Source organism: Homo sapiens, chromosome 3, assembly GCF_000001405.40.
Source record: "Homo sapiens chromosome 3, GRCh38.p14 Primary Assembly".
Classification (NCBI taxonomy): Eukaryota; Metazoa; Chordata; class Mammalia; order Primates; family Hominidae; genus Homo; species Homo sapiens.
Genome location: NC_000003.12, coordinates 107,787,881 through 107,811,958, shown reverse-complemented (window position 1 = coordinate 107,811,958; position 24,078 = coordinate 107,787,881). Strand labels below are relative to the sequence as shown.

The 24,078-nt window shown below is 38.5% G+C and overlaps 1 protein-coding gene across 29 annotated transcripts in view; it reads right to left on the bottom strand.

The window, feature by feature from the left end:
* Nucleotides 1-619: 619 nt before the first annotated feature.
* Nucleotides 620-24,078, bottom strand: part of BBX (BBX high mobility group box domain containing) — a 288,378-nt gene continuing 264,919 nt past the window's right edge. For 16 of the 29 annotated variants that reach the window (XM_024453646.2, XM_011513001.3, XM_005247644.5 and 13 more), the window contains 5 exons: nucleotides 22,083-22,172; nucleotides 20,660-20,719; nucleotides 13,239-13,436; nucleotides 10,678-10,864; nucleotides 620-6,589 (listed from right to left, as the gene is read on the bottom strand). In XM_024453646.2, coding sequence (XP_024309414.1) covers nucleotides 6,502-6,589; nucleotides 10,678-10,864; nucleotides 13,239-13,436; nucleotides 20,660-20,719; nucleotides 22,083-22,172 — 623 coding nt within the window. In that variant the 3' untranslated portion in view covers nucleotides 620-6,501. The remainder of the gene's footprint in view (nucleotides 6,590-10,677; nucleotides 10,865-13,238; nucleotides 13,437-20,659; nucleotides 20,720-22,082; nucleotides 22,173-24,078) is intronic. The other 13 variants (XM_047448599.1, NM_020235.7, XM_024453657.2 and 10 more) reach the window with 7 other exon arrangements.

Genomic DNA, 24,078 nt, shown 5'->3' with positions numbered 1-24,078 from the left:
AAAGTTTATCTTGAATAGTTATACTCATCATATCTTTTGAATGTACTTAAAAAAATGCTAACCTTACAGTTGGAATTAAAACAATACAATCAATAATTACCATTTAATGGGCATTTATGCTACAGGCCCTATGACAATATTTTCATATATACTCTCTTTTCTTCACCACAGCAATGGTATGAGGAGGTATCATCACTATCAATAAATCTGAATTAGGGAGGTTAAAAAAAACCCAATGGTACATGGGTAGAAGAACTGTCTGAATACAAAGTCTATTTGTTGATAATTAATACTGTGTGCATGCATGCGTGTAGTTTCCAAAGGATTAAAAAAAACAACTTAGGAACATTGTATTCACCAAATCTGAGGTGCGAGTTTATACTTAGGTAACACTCTTAATGAAATCGCTTCCACAGTTTTGTCCCAGTTCAGGGAAAGATGGTGTGTTCTGATCACTAGTCCCAGAAGCGCACCCCAGAAGCGTTCACCCAAGTGGCGTACTGAAGCATATCCTCTTCTTCTATTGGGCTGATCATCACTCTACACTTTTGGGAAAAGCAACCAAGGCTGTCCAGACAATGGCAAATCACAGGCAAACACAGTTTAGGGGGACACATCATTCGATGTTCTAAAATAGTTGAAATATCTTACTTTTATTAGTATTTTTCCTACTGTTTTTAGTGAAAATGGTACATTAAAGGCACATACTCTACGGCCAGTAGTGTGAACATAAAGAAATATATTTGAATAATATCTTTAAAATATTTCAAAGTTTTATTAAATATTTTTATTCAGTTTTAAGATCACAGTTAAAGTACTTTAGCATGTTATACACATGACTTACATGTGCAATTTTTAGAAATATCAAATTAGGTATAAGATTTTGAAGAAAGAAATTATATAAATGTGTATATTGACTTTTACTACACATACATCTAAGAAAGCAATAATTCTGTTGTACCATTAAGTGGAAATCATTTATTACATGGCATGTTTACACCAACTCTAAAGAGAACCAAGCCAATTTCTGAAAGCAAAAAAAAAAAATGAGCGATTCAGTCATGCTGAAACTGTCAACAGACTTTAGACCTGGTGGTCAAATGAAGCTGTGGTTAATTTATGACATGTGAGTAAGCAATTCAAACCTACGAGAAGAGTTTATAATCTGGTATGTGGAGTCTCAGGTGATTTTATTCTTTTTTCTGACAAATTCCTGAGAGCAAGAGACTTGTTTAGTGCTAATGAAATGGAGAAAACGTTGCTGAGCCAGTTGCTGAGCTCCAGATCGCAAACCTTCCCTACCCCCCGTTCCACGGCTCTTAGAGCTGAGGCACTCATGTGAGGAGTCAGGGGACATGAGCCCACCCCTCTGGTGGGCCACAGAGCGAAATCAGTGTTAATGCATGAAACATGCATGTCTCTGTGATTTAGGTTAGAGCTTGTGAGGTAAGATTTGCATTGTGGGTGGAAGAGTTTTGAGGCATTGAATTAGATCCTTGTTACTCAGTAACCACCTCTGGCCCAAGTTATCAGGAAATCTTTGGAGGGAGCAGTAATGTTCACAATAACTAGTTCTGTGCATAAAAATCGATTTAAGCACATGATCAGTTTTGACCACTGACTGCAAAAAGAAAACAGCAGCCATATAATTTTTAACCACAAGGTTTCCTCTCTCAATTTAACAGTATGAATCATACCACCATAGATCAAATTTGGCCAGAAGAGGAACCTTTTTTTTTTTTTTTTTTAAAAAAAAGATGCACATTTATATATTTGAAGGAAGGGTAGCACATACAGATGGGGATTATGAGGGAGTCAAATACATTTGTCTTTTTATTCACGCTTGTTGCTTCTTTGTTCTGAAATATAAGGAAGATAAGGTCCTCAGTGAAATGAACAAAGTTGTTTAATATAGAGTATAATAAACTTAGCTATCACTTCCAAACGAAAGTAAAGCAGTCCATCAAACCCTGAATACTTCGCCAGACACATCTGGTAAGATGAACTGAACAACAGCTTCTTTTAAAATTGTAAGTATGCTGTTAGTCAATCTAAATAAGATAATTTTTAAAAATCCAAAAACTCAAAACAAAATCCAAATCTAGTTCTTTGGGAATGCTTGTATAAACAAAAGCAACATCTAATTAACAATTAGTATACTTTTTATAAGGTGCAAAATAAGGAGCTATTTGGGAAAGCTAAGTTTTAATTTCTACCTAGCAGTCACTCTGAATACTTTATAGGTCAAATGTAACAACAGCATTTGCTTCTACTGCCCATTTTCAGCAATACATTGTTCTCTCTGGAGGAGGCAGTTTGTGAAGTCAAAACACTGCAGTGGAAAATAGTGGCACTGAAGGTAGAAGCAAAAAAAGACAAACTTTTGAAACAGGACTTACTGAAATTAACTTTTAAAGCCGAGGTAGCCCATTAGGATTGGCCTTATATGAGGGCTCTGTGGAGCAGTGCAATTGAAGGTGAATCTCCTCAACAGCATCACACCCCGCAACATCCCCTTTACAAATGATGGCTCCAGGCCTCCTGCAATTTCCTTCCTTTTCCCAGATGAAGTGGTGGGTGCTTCTCCTTTGCTGTATGGAATGCCATCCTCCAGCCTCCAGCTGCTCGTCTTCAGAACATTTACGATTCATACAGTAGTTTAGCAGGCAGCATGGTCCCACTGCTTCACATTAATGTCAAATGCCAAACTTGGAACAGAGTTTTTTGGTATTTTCCCTCCCCTCCCCACCTTATAAACAAAACATGGCATTCAGTTTTCAGCTTACTCCTGTTCTGTAGCAATTTGTAATTAGCTTGTGACTTTACATAGGTGCAAACATTTCCATACATTGAGCCAAAGACTGCAGAGTGCAAACAAAATTTTATCTGACTTACAGTAGCATCTGACTTAATAAGAAAACAAAAGGATTTGAACACATTGGATTCTAAATAACCAGACCAGTTCAGATGCTCCTTTTTGTTCATAGTGTTCCATCATTATTTTGTTTCTCCAGCAATTTTAGTGGCAGGAAGTAGAATCACAATGATAACGTGGGAATTATTTTAACATGGCTTTGGGACATGGCATCGGTAGAAAGCTCATCTGACAGAATTAAATAAATATATTTCTGATATTTGTGGGAAAAAGACTATCGGAATTACAACAGTAGAATTTACCTTTTAAAAGGGGTTTTAATGAATTAACAGTTTTGATCTAAAATCTGGGAACTAACCTAATTTGGGGACAAGAACCTGTATTTCCAATGTGGCTGTGGGACATTTTTCTTTTTCCTGATCTCATATACAGTACCCAAACAAATAAAAACTTTAAGGATGTCTTACAGTATTTTTTCTTTCACTCAGCTTCTTACAGCTGCAGCTTCAGTTACTATAATATACTCTACACACTTCAAAATTACATAGGAAATACCCAGAATAACTAAATAAATAAAAGGCTAAAGAAAACTGGAACAGTACTGCGTCTCCATCTGAGACGCAATCTTCTACTTCCAGCATCGCAGAGAAGGGCTAGGACAATTTTTTTTCAAAAGATTTATATACAGGCTTGAATCCAGAAATTAAGGTTAAAAGCATAAATATTGATAATTTCAACTAAATTCAGAATGGTTTCAGAAAGATATGATACAACAATTTAGAATAAAACAAAGCAGAAGAGCATCATATTTTGGTTTGCTTGAGATATATATAAGGTGCAACAACTTTTTCTCTTGAGGATGCTGTGGGACAAATGTTAGTGTAGATGGTATCTGCTGGCAGATTAAAGTACACACTATAGCAATATGATTTTCCAAAATAAAAAAGAATGAGAGAAATGAAATGAAAATGATAACAAAAGGTGGGGTGGAGAGCACTAATATTGGTCTGAAATATTTGTGCTAACGAATGTTGTTACCTGAAAATAACAACACTCCTCTCCAGCAGTTTCAGGGCATGAGAAGCACAATTATTGAAATCAAGACTTTACTCAGAGAATCGACAAGGTGAGTCTAAGGAACTATAAAGCTTTGCAGGATTTCTGCTACTCTCAGTGCCTAACCGCTTAAAAATTAAGCATTTCTACAAAAAGGTTTGTTTTAAAGTATCTGAAAACAGTCATCTCCAGTAAGTTGCCCTCCCACCCCCAACCCTGCCTAAGGGAAAAGCCACTGAGGTTTAGGAAAAGCAGATCAAGTAAGATATTAATCACATAGAAAAAAAGTAATCTTTTGTTTTGCTTTTTTTTTTTTTAAAAAAGGTCCCAGGAATATACAGCAATCTCGTAAGGAACTCTAGTGAAATGTAATCGGAGGACTGAAGGAGGGTGCTCTGGCAAAAATAGATCTATTCTAACGTGTTCTATAGAATAACAAGTTAGTACCATTGTCAAGGTGCATGTTCCGCACCATACAATTTTTGTTGTTGGTTTTTTGTTTTGGATTTTAGCTAATTATAATCTTCAAATCACTGCTAGCGAGTGGTCCAAAACTCCAACAGCCACCAACATCGGGACCCAGCAATTTCAAACATTCACTTTTTGTTTTGAAATTTAGAAAATATTAATAAAACAGCATCATAGTAAAAATATTATGCAAAAGTCTGGAACTGCTCACTTGATTTATTCCTACATGAATGGGGTTAAGTTGTAACGTTTGATTAACCTTTTACTAATGCCTTCTTCCTCCATCCCCACCAGGAATATGCATTTTTGAGCACATCATTCCGATGCTTTGCTACCCTCTTTACCTGCTTTGGAAAAAAAAACAAGAAGAAAAACCTCTATTTTTTTTTCAATCCTGTTAGTATGTTGTACATATTTTCCAGCACCGGAACTGAAGTAATATCTACAACCATGAGAAGCTAAACCTAGTATGAATAGAGTCATTTTTTGTATGGCTATTACGTCAAATTACAATTAGAAAAAAAATCATTACAATTCAGTCAAGTATAAATAAGAAAGCTAGATAAAACCATGTAAACTGTCACCATTTAGAGATCTAATTCAAAAGCTTCAAACTCGAACTAGCACTGTCAAAATTCCGCCAGTTTGAAAACCATTAAAAATTATTGCTGGAATCCAATAATTAAAATTTGGTAGTTTGTGCTGTGACGCAAGAGTGGGGAAATACTTTGTGCTATAGAACAAATACCCTGTAAAATCTGTAGCCTCAGACTAATTTTGATTTATCACTTTGCATCTGTTGCTAGGAAACAAGACACTGTGAATGTCAGGTGGTTAAGTCAATATGTTGAATGTTCTAAGCCAGTTAATCCACTTGGCGCTGCTTATGTATGGTTGGTTTTATGTTCAAAAGCAACAAAACACAAAAAGGAAACAGAGACTTGCAGGTGGATCTATGACTGAGAGTCCCACTCTGGTCAGGCATACCTCCCTCATCATTGACTCAGTACCTCCTAAACAACACAAACTCAAAATGGCTCTAAAAACCTGCAGTGCCAATCAGGCTGTGCATAGCAATTGCAACCCGTCCAGCCAATCTGTGATGGATGTAAAAGGTCTGTAGCTCCAAGTCCACATGAAGTGAGTGTCTTCAATGTGTTTAGAATAGTGAAGTAATACTAAGGTCACTTCTGAATAATATTTTTGTCTTTTTTTTTGTTTGTATGAACAATCCATTGGTCACTTAGACCCCTATGTAAAAATAAAAGAATCCTCAAGGCATGAAAACACCAGTAATCTGTAATCTGCAGGACTCTTCCCCTGTCTGGGAAAATATTTGCCACAATTTGCCTCAAGCAAATTCTTCTTGGTCACTCAAGGCTAAGAAAAAAATTCAGATTGTAAGAGTTGTAATTTTTTCTCTCTCTCTTTTTTTTTTTTTTTTGCCAGCAAACTACCATTCTGGTGGCAAATATAAAAGTGCAGAATATATGGACCACGAGGCCGAGCATACACCACTAACAATGGTACATCTGCCTGCCCAGGCTGCTTGGGAGTCTCTGGAACAGGCTTTTTAATATTTATTCTACAATATAAATGTAGGTATAACCTATTATATAAACCATCTTAAACTTAAATCTCCATGTACAAAAAAGACTAAGAATATCTAATAATAACTAGTGCAGTGCGTCAGTTTTTGTTTTTTTTTTGTTTTGTTTTGAAAGAATAACTAGGTAATATATGAAACTAGTTTCACACTCTCTGGTTGGTAAAAGAGATGCTGGGTGAGCTACAGTAAAGGCAGCCTTTTACCAAGTTACCACCTATTACCGTCAAAAGCCTTCAATAGAAAGCAAAGCTCCAGGATCATTCTGTTTCTGCTCAGTATCAGACAGATAACCTTACCCTCAAAGATTCTGGGTTCTGAGAGAACAAACTGGCCCAGGATGCTAACTTCTGCTTCAAGTGAATCTGGGCCGTGTGGGGCAACAAGCACTTGTTTGCAGTCTATATTTTCCACCACTTGGACTCACTAGCATCCCTCGGTAAAGACAAGGCTAGGGTAGTAGGTAAAGCACAATGTTTTACAATGAAAGGGCGCTTCACTGGTCAGCGCAGGAAATAAGTACAGGAGCCTGCGGCATTTCTTTTGGCTGTCCATCATGGGTGAGCGGAGTTGACCTCTGACCTCTGTAAAATAAAAGGAAGAAAAAGTCACTTATTCAGCATATGTTATTAGAGACAGGAGAGGACGATGAATAACAAGTGTGTTCCAATATCTTGTTTAACAGTTACTGCTGTTACTTACATCATTTAATGAAAACTGTTTTTGCTTTAGAGTTTTTTCTCTTCTGTCCCCTTCCTTATCCTTTTTTTCCCCTTCCTCCTTCCCATTCTGTCTCCCTTCCTAAGATTTTATATCTGAATTCCCCTCATACAACTCAACAGCATACCCTCTGGCCTCAAACAACTAACCACTTCCATTTTGAAGAGATGAAATTTTAAGTACCAACAGATTTGGGGCAACTCTTTAAGAAGTGGGAAAATTTCAATCAAGGACTGGGGTTCTTGGACAATAATTTTCCTGTTGATCCATTGGTATTAAAAATGACACATTCCTTTTCTTGACTTGCCTGAAGGGAAAGTTCTCCTATAGTAATTGGTAACCTTCAGGTAATTTAGTGATAATAAAAGCAATGACTCTGGAAGAGAAACAGAGATGGACTGTGACTCCAAAAAAAAAAAAAGGAATGAAGAAACAATAAAACCCTCTGAACTCACATGCACATGGACAGAGAGTGTTTAGAGGAAGAAAACAAGCACTGATGCTGGATTTTAGATTTTAACAAAATCTACCCTAGTTGGGTGAAAATCAATACACATGGAGGGAGAACTCCAGACAGGACTAGAAAATTCATGGAAATTTTCATCATTTGGATAGAACCTATGCCAAACATAGCTGATTTTTCATTCAGCTTTTGTATAATTAGTAGTAAAAATACAATTTACTTCATGGTTATGAGAAAACTGTCCAAAATTCTTGGTAATTTCTACAGAGCTTCTCATTCTAAAAAGATAGGACTGGGTACTTCCTTGACATTTTCCAACAGGCCTACCAATCCTAGAAAATGCACACTCACTGCTCTGTAACCTACAATGGTCTGTAGTGCATAACACTGTGCTGAAAATATGTGATGTATCAGCAATGTTTTCATTGGGATGACCTTTCAAAATCGTATCTTCTTCAGAGTACATAGAACAAAAGGAGCTATTTCAAGATTTAGCTTGTACCTGCTCTATAACTATACTCAAGTTTCTCTTGATGCACAAAAAAGAAAAATAATGTAGACAAATTGCAACATTTGGGGGTTTCAGAATCAAATGATCACTTAATAGCCCAAGATATTTAGGATTTTAGAAAAGCAAAACATTTTAGAATCAAACCTCTGGATTAAGCTATTCACATGTGGATGTTATAGATACCACCTGTTCAATATGTTCAGCTCTTTGTTCAAGAAAGATGAAATTAAAATGCTACTTTTTACTTTTAAGATATTAAAAGACCCAAAAGAATTTTAATAAGTATTAGAAAAGGAAAAAAAAAAACAAAAAAGATGAAAAGTGCAATGTAAAAAAAGATGGCAAGAAGGAGAGAGAAATTGGGGTGAAAGTCCAGCTAAATCAATGGAAAAAGGAAAGAAGTCAGAATCACAGTGGGAGAGGACTATGTGCTGCAACTGATGATTCTAGCTCCCAGAGGAAGGGTCAGGTGAGATTCTTCATGATTTTCTCTGACATGACTGAAGCTTTCCTTTGGCAGTACGCGAGATAAGGAGTTCAAATCTTGACTTGGGCACAAATTGGCTGTGTGCTCTTGGCAAGTTAATTAACGGTCATTAAAATGGGACTAAAAAGGCCCACTTGGGAGGGCTAATTTAACTTCTAGTAAATAAACTGGTCTCTTAACAAAGGTTTGTTCCAACTCTCTATTTTGTGTATTTTGTAAAACTGTCTAAGTTAGGTTTCTGAACCTAACGTTAGATTTTTTCATGGCATGAGTGCAGGTCGTATATTTCCACCCCTAACTCCATGGGCCACCCTTTAAACTATGAACCGAGTTGATGCTGAAGTAATGCTTACTTCATTGGTATGCAACCCAGGTTCAATAACAGTGAGCCTACAGGTAGAAGCCTGGTGGGTAGATCTGCTTTAACAGGTAGGGGCTCAAGTTACAGCTAAGACTCTCCAGGGTGATCTGTCCTTCTAGCTATTAAGAACACTAACCATTTATTAGGTTGATGGTAAAATTCTAGTAATCATTACTGTTCTTTCTAATGGAAGGTTAAAAAAAATAAAAAGAATCTTTACTCACATTATTTTTTCTATACCTGTTATCTAACTTAGGCAGTCATACTTCAGAAACTACCTCATTTATTCATTCACCCACTCATTTGTTCATTTATCAATTGTTATAACAGGAACTAAGCAAGCTGGTAACATAGAGAATAAAACCACTGTTTTGCTTTCAAAATATACTGAAAGTAGACAGAAGTATCGACAAATCAATACATCCCAATGTGGTCTGAGAGAGGTGTGAGCATAGCATGCAGGAGCAACAAGAAACACACAGCCTAGGGCATCAGGAGGACTGAGAGAAGAGGACCGGGGACTAGGGTGGGGAGAAGGAGAGCAGTTCACCTGATCAGAGGATGTACAAGGCAAGAGCTTGGCGTATCTGGAAAGGGGTAAGTGATTCCACCTAACTGCAGGGTAGGGAGTGTGGAGGGCAGAGACAATGAGATTGGAAAGGTTTGCTGTGGCTTTCTGCTGATGCAAATTGGGAACCATGGAGGGCTGGTTAACAGAGCAACGGTGTGACCACGCTTAGAACACAGGCAGCAGCCAAGCTGCTTATGTGCTAGCCTTTTCCTACCCTTGAATTATTATCCCTCTCTCAATTCTCAGATTCCCTCTTATTTCCACAATTCACAGGGACACTTAATAACATTCAGGCAGATATTTTAAGTTCTCACTGCACGTGTATGTGCTTGTCCTCTATCCTTGACTGCACAACTCCACAAATGGAGAAGTATCTGTGCATTGTCTCCCTCAGAGACCTCACTGAATTTTAACAATGTCTGTGAGCATTCACTTGCTATTAGGAACTTGCAGTGTACACATAAAGAGGAATTTGACTTCTTGGAAATATCTAGAGGCTATTTGTGAGGAAGTACTCAAACTGTAATATGACAGGTAAATAGCAAGAAGCAAACCAAGCTCACGTCAGGGGACTCCAGGTTTACCTGGATGTCAAAAAGGAGCATGGGGCCTACAGCTGGCTACACAAGCTGCACTGGGTTGAGAGCTCTTTTGTACTGAAGACTGAAAGTCTAAGAAAGCAGCTCATCCATGGGTAATCCACTTTGAATAGGAATATAAAATACCTGAATTTACAACAGGCTTTTTTGCCTTCCCAAAGGATCCATTAAGTAGCAGAATACCCAATTATACACTTAGAACTTAATATACTTTCTGTGGGGCTTCGCTGAGTTCAAAGGGTTTTCACATCTATGATCTCGTCTGATGCTTACAACTTCGTAATTCTTTGGCGATATCACTATGCTCAATGTGTGCTGAGAAAACTAAAGTCCAGAGAAAAAAATTACTTTGTAGGAAATCACAGAAGAGTTGAAGAAAAATCCAGGCCTCTGGCTGCCATGAGTCAGATGCCAAAATGCTCTTTCCCTTGAACTGCACTGTCTTCTGATGGCTGGTGATGGCACCAACACCATCACCAATAAGGGGCATTCCACACACCAGCACTGGGATGCTAGAGTTACCCCACATAACATCTCTGTGAAATGAGTGCCACCTGCCCCTGTTTTTTTAGAGGAAAAAAACCAAGGGTAGAGAGGTTAATAATCTTGGTCAAGATCTTTCGGTTTGCAGGTGATGGAGCTAGGACTCAAACCTCAGTCTGCAATGGGACTCCAAAGCTCATTGGTCAGATAATACTGCTTCCCTGCTCTCAGGCTTTTTACGGAAATGAAGTTTAGCCACAGGATAACATATTCAAAATAAAATACTTGGCTGACTATATTCCCTGGTATTTTCCCGCACTGCTAATTAGCATATATGCTTTTGTAATACCTCATATAACCAATAGTGCTCTTGAACCAAGTTTGAACCCCAATGCCCTGTAAAAAATGTCACAAATCACATCAAAGAGGTTGATCTGGTTTCCATGTTGCTTTCTCCTTCCACCTTCTACCACTAACCTGTGCACATTTTCCATGGCTGCCACTTCAGCCAGCGCAGCGAGGCTAAAGAACGCAGACACGGCAGGCATTTCTGGAGTACTGCTCCGCGTCTCCCCGACCTCGGTGTTGTGTGAGCATTTGTCATTGCAGTCTGTCTCAGTTGCTTTAGGGAGACTCCTCTGCAGTTGTTCCTTTGGTTTGTCATCTGTAACAAAAGAGAAATCCATCATGAGAGGATCACTCTGTTCTCTCCAGAGAAGAGACATAGAAAACGCTGTGCCAGTCAACATGAAAAGAGCTAACATTCTCTACCATTCACTTTTGCTATCCATCGAATATTAAGGCTTTTACAGAATCTCTTCTCCTCAGTAACAAAGCTCTTTTATTAAGCTTAGTTGCAACTATGGACAGCACTGTGCCCTGAGGCTGAGCTGAAGAGAAGCTGTGTTTTATCTGAGGTCAAAGAATGGGTCAGTCTTGGAGTGAGAAGGAAAAATGAGCCTCAGCTAAAATAAAACCCAAGGGACTTCTGTAGAGGGGCCTGTAGATGCTGTAAAAGAGCCCTTAAAAACCCAACTGACTAAGCATTTCTCATGAAGCTGTAGCATGCCCTACTATGGCAACTTGGACATTGGGTATGCTGTGATACCAACACTTAGGATGGCCTATACAGCACATTAACCAGTTCTAATGAGAGCCCAAGTTGTTATTTTGTTCTAAAGACCTACTGGAGAGAAGACAAAGCCCTCTGGTCTTTACAAAGAGGTGGATGAAATGCTGTGCAAGTATGCCTGCTACAAATGAGTATACTTTCTTTCTTATGTAGCCATTATAGAGAAGGGAAATTTTTATCATAGTTTTAAAAAAATTGTAAATATAGAAAATGACTGATAAAAGCTTTAAATATTATCTATTAGGACACAAAAGTGGTATGACACTTTTCTATGTAAATGGGACTGTTCTCATATTTCTTCACTCCTCCTCCAAGTGAAAACAAATGTGGATGTAACAATCTACAAAATGAAAGTCACAGAACAGAACTCAGATTGGACAGAAAAGGAGGGAGGGGACTGCTGGGCTAAACATCAGGACATCTAGGTGTTAGTCCTCATTCTACTTCTATTGTATTGAATGTACTCAAACAAAAACTTCCACCTCTTTGAATTTTTTCTCTTATATGACAGGGCAAAATCAGGGCCTTTAATATACTCTATGTTTCTAACAATCTAAATATTCAAAACACACAAAAGAAGTGCACAAAATTCATAAACTGTCCTCTAACTAAGCAAACAGTTCCCCTCTATTAACACCTAGATTAACCCAAATCACATAAAATAAAATTGCGGAGGTGCTGAGAGGCAGAAAGGCAACAGCCAAGGCCACTAGTACCTAGCTGGTATAGCACTCCAAGATTTTGCGGCCGGGGGGTCTCAGTATCACTCTTCGGCCACACCCCTTACCTTGGGCTCCTCCGGTCATTCTACTGCCAAAGAGGCTACCAGGAACAGCAAACAGACAACAGGCCATGATTGAAAATGGAGAAATTCACCAGTTGGTGAATTAAATCAGATAACTCAAGAAATCCAGAAGCATTCTCAGGCTCCCTGCATGGTCTAAACCAGTTATATAGGAAGTGAATGTTGGATGCATTTTAAGCTTAATCTACTGGTTTGAATGCCTGGTAATCTGGCTTGTAGTGACCCGAACAGCAGACCATGGTCAAATACTGATTCATCTAGTATCTTTAAAAGTATAGGATCTCCTGGAATTAAGATTGCTTTTGTGCACATTGAGAAAGATAAAGGGAAGATGACAGTCCTAAAAACTACCTTTCTTTTCTAGGAATTCAGATATGCTCTTGGAAAACTAGCTATGATTTTAAACATGGAATAAAACATGTTTGGAGGTCTGTAGAAAGCTGCAGAATAGACTCATTTTTCAGTAGGAACCACAGTTGCTTACAGTCATTTGCTGACATGGTGGTCATCTGCTTGCTCTGGTTATCTCTGTCTAAAGCAAGCTTGTCCAACCCATGGCCTGCAGGCTGCATGTGGCTGGGGACAGCTTTGAATGCAGCCCAACACAAATTCGTAAACTTTCTTAAAACATTCTGAGATTTTTTTGTGTTTGTTGTTGTTGTTTTTTTTTTTGAGACAGAGTCTCACTCTGTCGCCCAGGCTGGAGTGCAGTGGCGCGATCTCGGCTCACTGCAACCTCCGACTCTCGGGTTCACGCCATTCTCCTGCCTCAGCCTCCCAAGCAGCTGGGACTACAGGCACCCACCACCAGGCCCGGCTAATTTTTTGTATTTTTAGTAGAGATGGGGTTTCACAGTGTTAGCCAGGATGGTCTCGATCTCCTGACCTCATGATCCACCCACCTCAGCCTCCTAAAGCGTTGGGATTACAGACGTGAGCCACCGCGCCTGGCCTGGTTTTTTTTGTTTTTGTTTTTTTTTTTTTTTAGCTCATTGGCTATTGTTAGTGTATTTCATTGTGGCTCAAGACAATTCTTCTTCCAGTGTGGCCCAGGGAAGCTAAAAGATTGGACACCTCTGGTCTAAAGCTCTCTCTTCTTACCCAAAGTACCTCCTGCTGGTGATACCCGGCCATCTGCTGTCCTGACAAGGTGTGTAATCTTGGTTTTCCTTGCTTTTCTCTTTTGGCTGCCCACCAAAGGTTCTTGCGTTGTTGTTGGCTCTGGAGTGTTGAAAATGGATGGGATATTTTTAACCTTATGAACAGGCTCCATGGTGTTTCTGTCTTCTGAAAATATGGCTGAAATAGGAAATACCATGCATAGTTATGCACAAAAACAGAAGGCACCAAAATTGCTCTTAGAAGGAAACATGTCTAAATTTCTGACCCGTCTGAATGGAGAATTTACACTCAGAGTTTTCAAAGTACTGATGGAAAAAATGAAATAAAACGTTGCCCCTAACTTGTTTACTACCAATTGATATTTGCTTTGATAAATTAAATGCAGTGAATTAAGACACCCCCTCTTTTTTACATTTTCTAAGTCTCTGGGTGTTGCACGTTGGTGGGGACGATAATTTAGGTAAATCTGAGTAAATTATGTCCTCTTGTAAATTATGTCCTAGTTGTGATCAGGGTCCCTATCTGAGAGATCCTTTTGGCCAGTTGGCCTAGAGAGGATGGTAAAAGAAATTTCTTCAGAGGACACTAAAATTAAATATGTCCTTCTTAAATTTATATTTATGGTTGGGACATTTGCTTTTAAGCACCAGGTTGAATTGATCAGAAAAGAAATTGAGGCCTGACTTTCTTTCATGTAGATTGACTGTGCAGTAAGGACAGGACAAACATTGTTGAAGCCAGCACGCCAAGGAAAGAAACTCTCTTTCATTCACTGAATTCTAAAACAAGGAATACACTTAGTGAGATAATTTAATGAAGTCCCACATGTCATCCTGGCTTGTGGAGAGGCTAGTTTTAGGTATCCTAATTGTAACCCCAATGAATCATTTGATAGCACACTCCTATATTCTGAGTCACTCTGTCAAGAGCAAGGAAGACACCTGTACCACAGACTTTTCTCCTGGTTTACACAGATTGGGGAAGCTTGTGTCTTTTCTTACATACTCATTTTCTTAGCAGTTTACCCCCTCCTGACCTTAACTTAAAAGTAAGACAAGATGTGTAGATATGAGTTTAGTAAGTGTTTAGGGGTATACCATAGTTGAGTTTTATGATTGGGACTTTAAAGAAATTCCAGTGACCCAAGGGCTTTTAAGCCGGGAAAAGATGCACTTTCATAATTTTTAACTATCCAATTTCTTAGGATAGACATAGAAATTATTTTTGACAAAGAAAAGGAGAATGTGGGTCAGAAAACTAATGTCAGACATAACAAGCCCTAAGCAAACTAAATCCAGAGGAGGCATATCTGAAGGTAGATATTGGCAATAAAGCTATATATATATATATATATATATATATTTGGAAGAAAAGCTAAACTAAGAGGAAAAAAAAACTAGAGCAAGAATAACTCAGGGTGTGAAAAAATGAACTTGTTGGTATAAACACTTGCACAGCCCTCATTTAAAATGTTTAATCTAGGTGTTTAATGGATTTAGGTACATCCTCAAGAAAGAAGGCTATGAATTAATAAGATTATTTGTCCTGGAAATCATGGCACCTTGTCTTTAAAAGATGTTTCAAAAGAAAGGCTGATTCCAGGCTTCACATTCCTAAACAAGTGGGAAATAATTTCAATTACATCAAAAGAAAGTATGTAAAGCAGAAATCACACCATCATTTGTGGTTTGGCCTTACCTCAATATTGCATAACAGATGGCTGTGTGCAGACAGGCTTAAGATAACAGTTGTTTTAAAAAACTACTTGGCAATGCTCCCAAACACCTTTTCAAGTAAGTAATCAAAGGTCAGAAAACATACTCCTTTTAGATTGCAGATCTATTCCCAGGTCAAATAGATCTACCTCAATGGTGGATTAATTTACTCAGTTATTATACTTAGTCTTAGAATATTTATACTTTGATATTTAGCTTAACATAGGCCAGTGGTGGTACATATTTTAAGTTTTTTTTTTTTAGTTTAAACTTCAATAAAAGCTTCCAGCAAAATAAAAAATAATTCGGTAAGAAACACTCCAAAGAAGATGCATGATTCTATTTTAGCCTTAAAATTCAAAGCCTCCTTTAAGTATAAAGAAGCCCAAAATCTGAATTTACAATGAGCATTAAATAACATCTATTGCACATTCATAAGCTTCGAGATTTCGAATTTCTTATCCAGATCCATCAGCTGTCCCTTCTGATTACAGGAGTCTTGTTTACCTCTCCAATAGAATCACCACATTGTGGATGGACATTCCAGAAAGAACATTAACCTCTTCCCTTTTCTACTTCCCCTTCCCAGGAAAGTACAGAACATGTAGAAATAAGGGTATATAGTGGGGTTCCAAAGATGGAAAGGTGTATCATATCTTACATTAGAACTGACTGCGGAAAGAAGAACCAAGGAGGTCAATGAAAAGGCATGGATACCAGAAAAAGGCCAAGTCGGTTGGGAAAGATGACTTGCTTTTTACACAGAGACCATGGGGTAATGGAAGTAACAGTCACAGAGAGACCAGAATTCTACTACTGACTTTTAAATTTACTAACAGCAGTCCAACCAACCATGGGCCTCTGTTTCTTCATTCAGAGATGGAGGTTGGACTGTATTAGCTTTAAAGGAGCCATCTAGCCCTAAAATAACTTTGCTACATAGGCTACCATCAGAGATCTGGCCAGGGGCAACAACAACAACAAACCACCAGTCAGCTCCAGAGTCATAGGCTGGGAAACAGTACTCCTGTGACTAGCACTGTTTTTGTTTGTTTGGTGAGCCTTCAAATGGTTTCATTTCTACTTAATAGTTGTTCCTTTTCTAGTTTGTTCCAGATGAATTGGTAAAAACACAGTAAGAAGCGTAAGGCACAGCTGCAAAAGGGTTGATTGCAAATGGAGGTACAGTTTCTGCCTAAAACCAGACTGTGACTATGGAAAGCTCAGAAACCAGCAGGCAAAGAGCCTGAGGGCCCAAAGCAGGCCAGCAATACCCAAGTCCCAAGGGTCAGTATATTGGAGGAAAGTAAAGGAGTGAATCAGACTGCAGACCAAGTGGAAGAGGCAAAAAAAAAAAAAAAAAAAAAAAAAGACTACGTCGGAGGTTCTCATAAGTTCCCCAAAAGAAGGTAATGCCAATTAACCAGAGGTCTCCTCTAAACCTACTATTACATCAAAATGCAATGATGGGCCCTGCAGATGATGCACATTTGCAAAAGGTATGTAATGTGACCTTCCTAGAGTTTGAAAGAGGATAAGGGTCCAGACTAATGTTCTGACCCAAGGGTTAACCCCAGAACGTATGGTCTTGTTTGGTGGTTTAGACTGAGGACAGCCTTCAGGATCAGCCCTCAGGGAGACCCTTCCCCTAAGACAGAAGAATTAGGGAAGGCAGATGGGACTGTATCCGAGAAGTAATTTTCTGGAACAAAACAGTAGATCTGAGTCCAACGACATTGGCAAAGCAGACAAAAGCTTGGTGGTGAGGGACATGAGATGAAAAAAGTTCAGAGAGGGAAACAAGCACAAAAGTTGAGTACAAAGATAGCAAGCTAGTTCCTCCCGACAACCCGCAACCTAATGGAAATGTAAGAAAAGAAAGGCTTTGTGGCTCCAAAACAAATTAGTCATTTCTTTTCCAGCTTTTAATTGAGCACACAAAACTACCCGAACACTTCAGAACAAATCCACTGGGCTAGTTTTTACACCCAAACAATAACCATAACACACTTGGTGCGTATCATCTGAGAGTGATGATGCAAGCTCACTCCTGGAGCCACATCAGGAATGTAGCAATAAGAGACCGTCTTGTTTTCCAAAATCTGATCCCAAAATGTGGAGTAGGTTTTTTGGGAAAGCAGCATTGCTCTTGTATTGTACCCCATGAGGCCACTAGAGTGCTCCAGAGTCATGAATTCACATTCCAACTGGGGTTTCAAACTTGCACTGAAATTATTATAGCCAGATCTGGAATCTAATTGCCTTTGGTAGGTCTCCCATGAGCTGAAACAGCAGTCAGATGCTGAATAGAACACAGGAAAAAGAAACGAATGAGCCTTATCCAACATCCTGGGAGACTTTGCTGAAGTTATATAGCAACTATTTCAAACTTAAGAAAAGAGATCGAGTTAGATTGGGCACTGTGGATCGTGTGTGAAAATCTAACTATAAACCAGAATTTTCCTGCCTGTAATTAGATTTATACACTGCAAAGAAGTGAATTTTAACAGAGATTCCTAGTCCTAGGTTTTGGGGTTTTTTTTTTCCCCGTTGTGAAATACCATTTATATTTTCAATATTTGAACCAAATGAGGGTTAAAAGTCTACAAATATGAAAAACGGAAAATGTAGTAGCTGATGTACTTAAATGGAGATATGGTTTCTTCCCTATCTGCTTGTGTTGCTCAGGCCATAATTCCTTACCATGTATTCGGGGCTGATAAACCCTCCTTAATTCACTGGGAATGCTGTTAAGATGAAATTGAAAAAAATATATACATATATATGAAAGCCCCCTGTAAACTATAAAGTGGTAGTAAGTATTAGTTATCATCATCATTATTATTGCAATTAGAAACTTCTAGCTTAAAGCATGAGCATATGGCACCATAACTAGGTGGAAAGATAAACACAGTGGCAGAGGTAGGAGGTAGTGTTCTTGGTTTATTTGAAAATCCTACCTTTAATTCTAGCCTGTGGACAATTTTTTTTAATACATATATACCGAAATTTCAAAAAGTGGTTTAACAATTTTGAATTGTAAAAGCCCAGGGTTTAAGACACATTATAAACTTAGCATTTAAACATATTACTAAGCATCTAAATATTTCTGATATTTTGAAAAAAAAGAAAGATTGCAAGGTGCCTGTACACAGGGCAGTATAAAGAAAACACAGTGAACTTGAAGTCATCTACTTTAGAAGAAATCAGAATAGCTGAACAGTTATATAGCATCAGTTGACTCAATATTTCTATTAAAGACATCAGCTACAAACAATGCCTGTCTAACATTTGAGCAGGATTTTAATTTTAGACATGTTTAAATTATTCTATATTATTGCTATATTTTCTGTCATATATTTATACCCTCTCCAAGGTGAAGTTTCAATAAGCAGTGATATAGTCATAGACGAGAGAGAGGATTAAAGGCCTAGAAAACTCACAAAGCACATAGTCACTACACAAACAAGTAAATGTTGGAGATAGTAAGAAAATGAAAAACCAAAAATGGTTACTTTAAATTACTAGTAATTTCTGATGCTCAAATTGATTCCTGTTTTTCCTGGCCACATAAAATGAGTTTGTACTCTACACTAAACAATGGACATGCATTTTTCAGTGCATATTCTCCAAAAGTTGTTTCATATACATTAATAATAAATATAATTAAATATCACCAATTATAACTATATTTCTGCTAAAGCCTGGGACTGCCTGTAAGACTCAAAAGTGATTTACTTTTCTGCCCCCAAAAGCAGAAAATTAGGGCTACAGAATATAGTACTTCTAGTAACACAATACTTACTCAAGATATCAGAGCAATAAAATCATTATCAAGTGTTAGAGGGGAAACAGAATTTACAGTCTGTGTACTACTACATCTCATCATTCACCCAATCTCTAAACACACAAATTATATATGTACTTAATACCAATGTGGAGAGTAATCCTAGTGAGGTTAAACAATTTGTCATACTGAAAAATGCTGATTAGTGGCAGGTCTGAGACTAGAACCCAGATTTCCTAACTCCCAGGTAAGTGCTCTTTCTACCACACTGCACTTGCTCTGGTACCTCTGTAGGGTTTTCAGTGTTTAAAAAAACAGAACAAAGTACTTAGAACAGTATCATTTTAAGTAAAGAGTAAACATTTTAAGTAAAGAGTAAAGTGGTCCTAAATGTCCTTCAAACTCTTCTGCTAGTTCATCAGTGCCTTACATTAAAAAAACTATATGGAATATATTTTTAAAATATACAAGAGCTAATGTATCAATTTGAGGATGTTAGGATTTAATGCTGTGAACAGCAGAATTCATATTTTGTTTTGCCAGCACTGAAGCAGAATATTCCATAGAGGCTGTGAATGTGAATCAACAAGTGAGATAATAGATGTAGTGCTGGCGTTTTCTGTAAAAGTAAAATGACACGGAAGCTGATGTGGCTCATGTAAATGATGCCTACTAAATCAAAAATACTTATGTTTAACATGAACTCAAACTTGACCATTTTTGCTAGCTATCTTAAAAACATGAATATTTCTGATAAGTGACTTACGTCAATTGTGCATTTTTTTTCTCATTTTCAGTAAAGGAATGATAGCATATTTGAGAGTCAAAAGATGTGGACTAGGTCATGAAGTTCCCATTTCTGGATATAAGTGAATCAAAGGAGTTGAAACAAATCATCTCTAAAATCCCTTCTAGTTTTCAAATGAAGTGACTCCTAATTAAGCCCTACAAAAATGTCAGCTCTTTTAAAATATCTGCAATGAAAAAAAGAGAATCAACAGGAAGAAGGGAGAGGTGGCCTCTTAACCATTGAAGAAATTAGGCTTCACCTAAGGGCTCAATGCTTAACAGTAATAATATAAAGTCACAAATAAATATGGCCGTGAGAAATTTCAAAATCAAATCTGCACCTAGGACCTATAACATGACTAGTTAATATTGGATTTTTCTTGGGCTACCCATAAGCCTCAGGGTGTTCTATTCTTTTTTGTTGTTGTTGCCCAGGCTGGAGTGCAGTGGTACGATCTTGGCTCACTGAAACTTCCGCCTCCCGGGTTCAAGCAACTCTCCTGCCTCAGCCTCCTGAGTAGCTGGGATTACAGGCATGCGCTATCACAGCCAACTAATTTTTGTATTTTTAGTACAGACGGGGTTTCACCATGTTGGTTAGGCTAGTCTCGAACTCCTGACCTCATGATCTGCCCGCCTTGGCCTCCCGAGGTACTAGGATTACAGGCGTGAGCCACTGTGCCTTGCTGGGGTGTTTATTTTAATGGGCTAGGAAAACACCCAGGTCAGAAGTTACTCCTGCAGGCCTGCCCATGCCCAGCCAACCAGGTTGTTATTCCAGCTCCCACTGGGCATAAGCATCTGCCTGCAACATGAACTGCAATGCTGAATACATTTAGCTATGAAAAACTCCAATCTCTGATTAATGCGATTCAAAGGTTACAAATCGCCCTTTAACAGATTAAACACCACATGACACATTGCCTGACCCTTGGCAGGAGTCCCCCAAATAGCAGCTTTGATGTGAAAATTAAAAATAACCTAATTATGAACACATAAGTCTAGTGCTGTTGTTTAAACCTATATAAATTATACCTTTTAAAAACCTATACAACTTATGTCATTTCCAGCTCCGATTGTCTCAAATTAAATAACATTGCTTGTCTTACCTTCTGTAGGGTGAATGGCATCCAAGAAGAGTTGCTTGTTTGACCATTTATCCCCACTTCCTAAAAACAATGACAGAAAAGGAAAGAAAAGTGAAACTCTACTCTTAGTAGATTCCCCATACTACAAAAACAAGATGATATACAAACTAACTTTTGAAACATCACACAAATAAAGCTGAATTTTATGTCAATTACTTAATTCTTAAAATGGTATTTGCCAACTAAAATAATGAGGCTGTACAGAAAATGGATTAAAAATAAAATTTTTGTCTTTTATGAAATATAGTGTTGGATTATTTCTGTAACTTTAATCAAAGTAATCTGAAGATCAGTAAAACGGAATGAAAAAAGCTGATGTTTTCACCTAATGAATAATGTTTCTTTACTGTAAGCAGAAGAAAAAATAATATCAATATACAAAACAAAACTAAGAAGCTGAAGTGGAAGTGAAAAGAAGGCCCAAAGTAAGTAAAAGGTTACATACAGGAACATACAGGCACACATGTCTACACACAGGAGACAGCTGCGTTTAAAGCCTCATTCAAGAAACACGGAATGCTTCACATCTGGCCATGCAAGTAGGATGCAAATGGGCACCGGATGAGTTGGTTTATGGTAGTCACGACACTAACATGCAGGGAGATGCTAAAGAAAACCCGACCTACAGAATACTTGGCTGCACTGAGCCAGATGGGAAGATTTATCTTTTATGTGAAATAAGAATAGGAGTCCTGCACTATGGGAAGAAAGAGATCTTAAGATGAGCCCTGAAGAGGTTTAAAGGCCCATCAAGATCATACCAATGAGACAGACGTTCCGAGTAAAGAGGGGACAGAGTACAATCAGTCTCTACTGCCCTTTCAAGTAACAGGCATGTGACTGAAAGAGGTCGGAACAAGAGCCTGGCAAACGAGGGGGGGTGGAAGAAGAGACACAGGTTACAACTTAAGAGTGGAGAAAAAGGTCCGCAAGAATCCCCAAGTGTCAGAGGAAGTACAGAAACGGGGGCACTTTCACATGAACACGAAACTGTAAGATTTCATGAAGTAGGAAAATGTGGTCATGGTATGAAGGGCTGCCAAACATGTGAAAACCAAGAATAGTCAAAGAAAATAAATGGATAAGTGGTCAAGAAGACTGAATTGCAAAACGCACCAAATACAGATGAGAAGAGGCAATTTTAGGATTCATATGGGGCTCTGAAAATAGAGACAAATATGGATTTGAACAGCAATCCAAGTGAAGGAGATTTGCATTAGCTGCAGAGTCCGGAAAGAATGAGAACACCCGCGTCAGGAGCTGATGGCACTGAAGCAAGCAGAGGGGAGGACAAGGCAAAGGCAGTGCATGGGAGCATTACTCAAAGATGAATCACAATGGAGGTGACCAAGAACCCTTCATGGAGGATGGAGGGCACCAATACCTTTTTCCGGAACATTGGGCTTCTCCTTTTTGTGCTTATATTTGCTGACAATTTTGTGGAATAAGTTCTTTTTCTGAGACTGGAAAGGACCTACAGACAATATTAATATAAATATATTTTAAATTCACAATGTTTCATAAAAAATATTGTGTATTTCTCAACAATTCCACCCTCCTCCCTCCTGTGGAATAAGCAAATTGAATCTCAATAAATGTCATCTTGCATCTTCACCTACTTAACTGGTGCTTAGCCCCCTTTTTAGGCTTATTTAAACCCAGTGAGATTTTCCTTAGAAATGTATTGGGCAAAGCCTCCATTAGGGCTGGGACTCCCTAAGCAGAAACTGCAGATACAGTGAGTAGAAACAAACTACAACCAATAACAGCAAAGTGGCTAGAGTCTGTAATAGAGAAAAGATTTTACTTTAGACTCCTAAATACCATGAAGGAAAGGATGGAATATGTGTTTTATCTCTCCAATGAAACTGCTTTTCACAACAAGGATAGCACTTTCAGGACAGCAGTTGACCCGACAGCATTAGATAGCTTTCTGGCCTTTTATGAGAATAATCTAAGAAGAAAAAATGACTTAAAAAGAGAAAATATCTGCCAAAAAACTTTATTCTGGTTGGAAGGGGGAGATGTTTCAGATTCTTAGTTTTCTCAGATAAAGAAACAAAATTGAGATTTTTTTTTTTTCAGTGAACAATCAGAAATACCAGCAACAGCACTGACCTCCCCAAAGCCCCGGTGGCATCTCTCCACCTACCAACAGCTGCAACTACATGCTCTGCCTTCTGGCCACAGGTGAACCATTTGATGCTCCCATCTGGTCAGTTCCTCCACCCATGGCATAGCCCCACCCTCCTTGTCCAGCTCAACACCATCATTTCTCCCTCTCTAATGGGCCATTCCATCACTATACAAACAAATTCTTTTAACTTAGAAAAGAAAAAGGTGGCTCCTAACCTAACTTCCCTCACATCAGTTACTGCCTTAGTTCTTCATTCCTTCTGTAGCAAAAATTCCACAGAAGGGTTGCCTAGGCTGTCTCCAGTTTCTCTCTTTCCATTCTGTCTTTATTTATTTATTTATGTATTTATTGAGACAGGGTCTCACTCTGTCACCAGGCTGGAGTGCAGTGGGATGATCTCGGCTCACTGCAACCTCCACCTCCTGGGCTCAAGCAATCCTCCCACCTCAGCCTCCTGAGTAACTAGGACTACAGGTGGGGATCACCATGCCTGGCTAATTTTTTGTATTTTTTTTTTTGTAAAGTTGGGGTTTCACCATGTTGCCCAGGCTGGGCTCAAGCAATCCGCCCACCTTGGCCTCCCAAAATGCTGGGATTACAGGTGTGAGCCACTGTGCCCAGCCTCATTCTGTCTTAAACTCACTACAACTAGGTTTCTGCCCTGCCACTCATGGAAAACTGCTCTTCAAGGGGTCATCCAGTACCCCCATGCTGTGAAGGCCAATTGTGGGTCCTTATTGCACCAGGCTGTTCCTGTAGCTTCTGACCACTAGAGCCACACCCTCTGCCTTGAATGCCTCCTTCATTGGGCTTCTAGGATACCACCTTCTCTTCTTTTCTCTTCTCCATCACTGATATTTCCCTCTCTCTCCTTTGCTTATTATTTTCCCTGACCTCTTAATTTTGGAAAGCTCTGGGCTTGGCCCTTGTCCTTGTCTCTATTCTCACTCATCTGGTGATTACCTCTACTGTCAGGGCTTTAAAATAAAATGAAATAAAATAAAATAAAATAAATACCAGCTATAGGTTGAAGACTCAAAAATGCATCACCCCAGCCAGACCTCTTATATTGGGTGTATATGAAAAGTCAGCAATCTTATACTATCTTACGAGGACTTAAGAGATCCAGAGCTCCATTACCTCCATAACCTCATATCCTGCCACTCCTTTCCTTTGAGTCTCTCTAGCTGCATGGGCCTCCTGGCAGTCCTCTGCACATGTAGTCTCAGTGTTCCTGACTTTA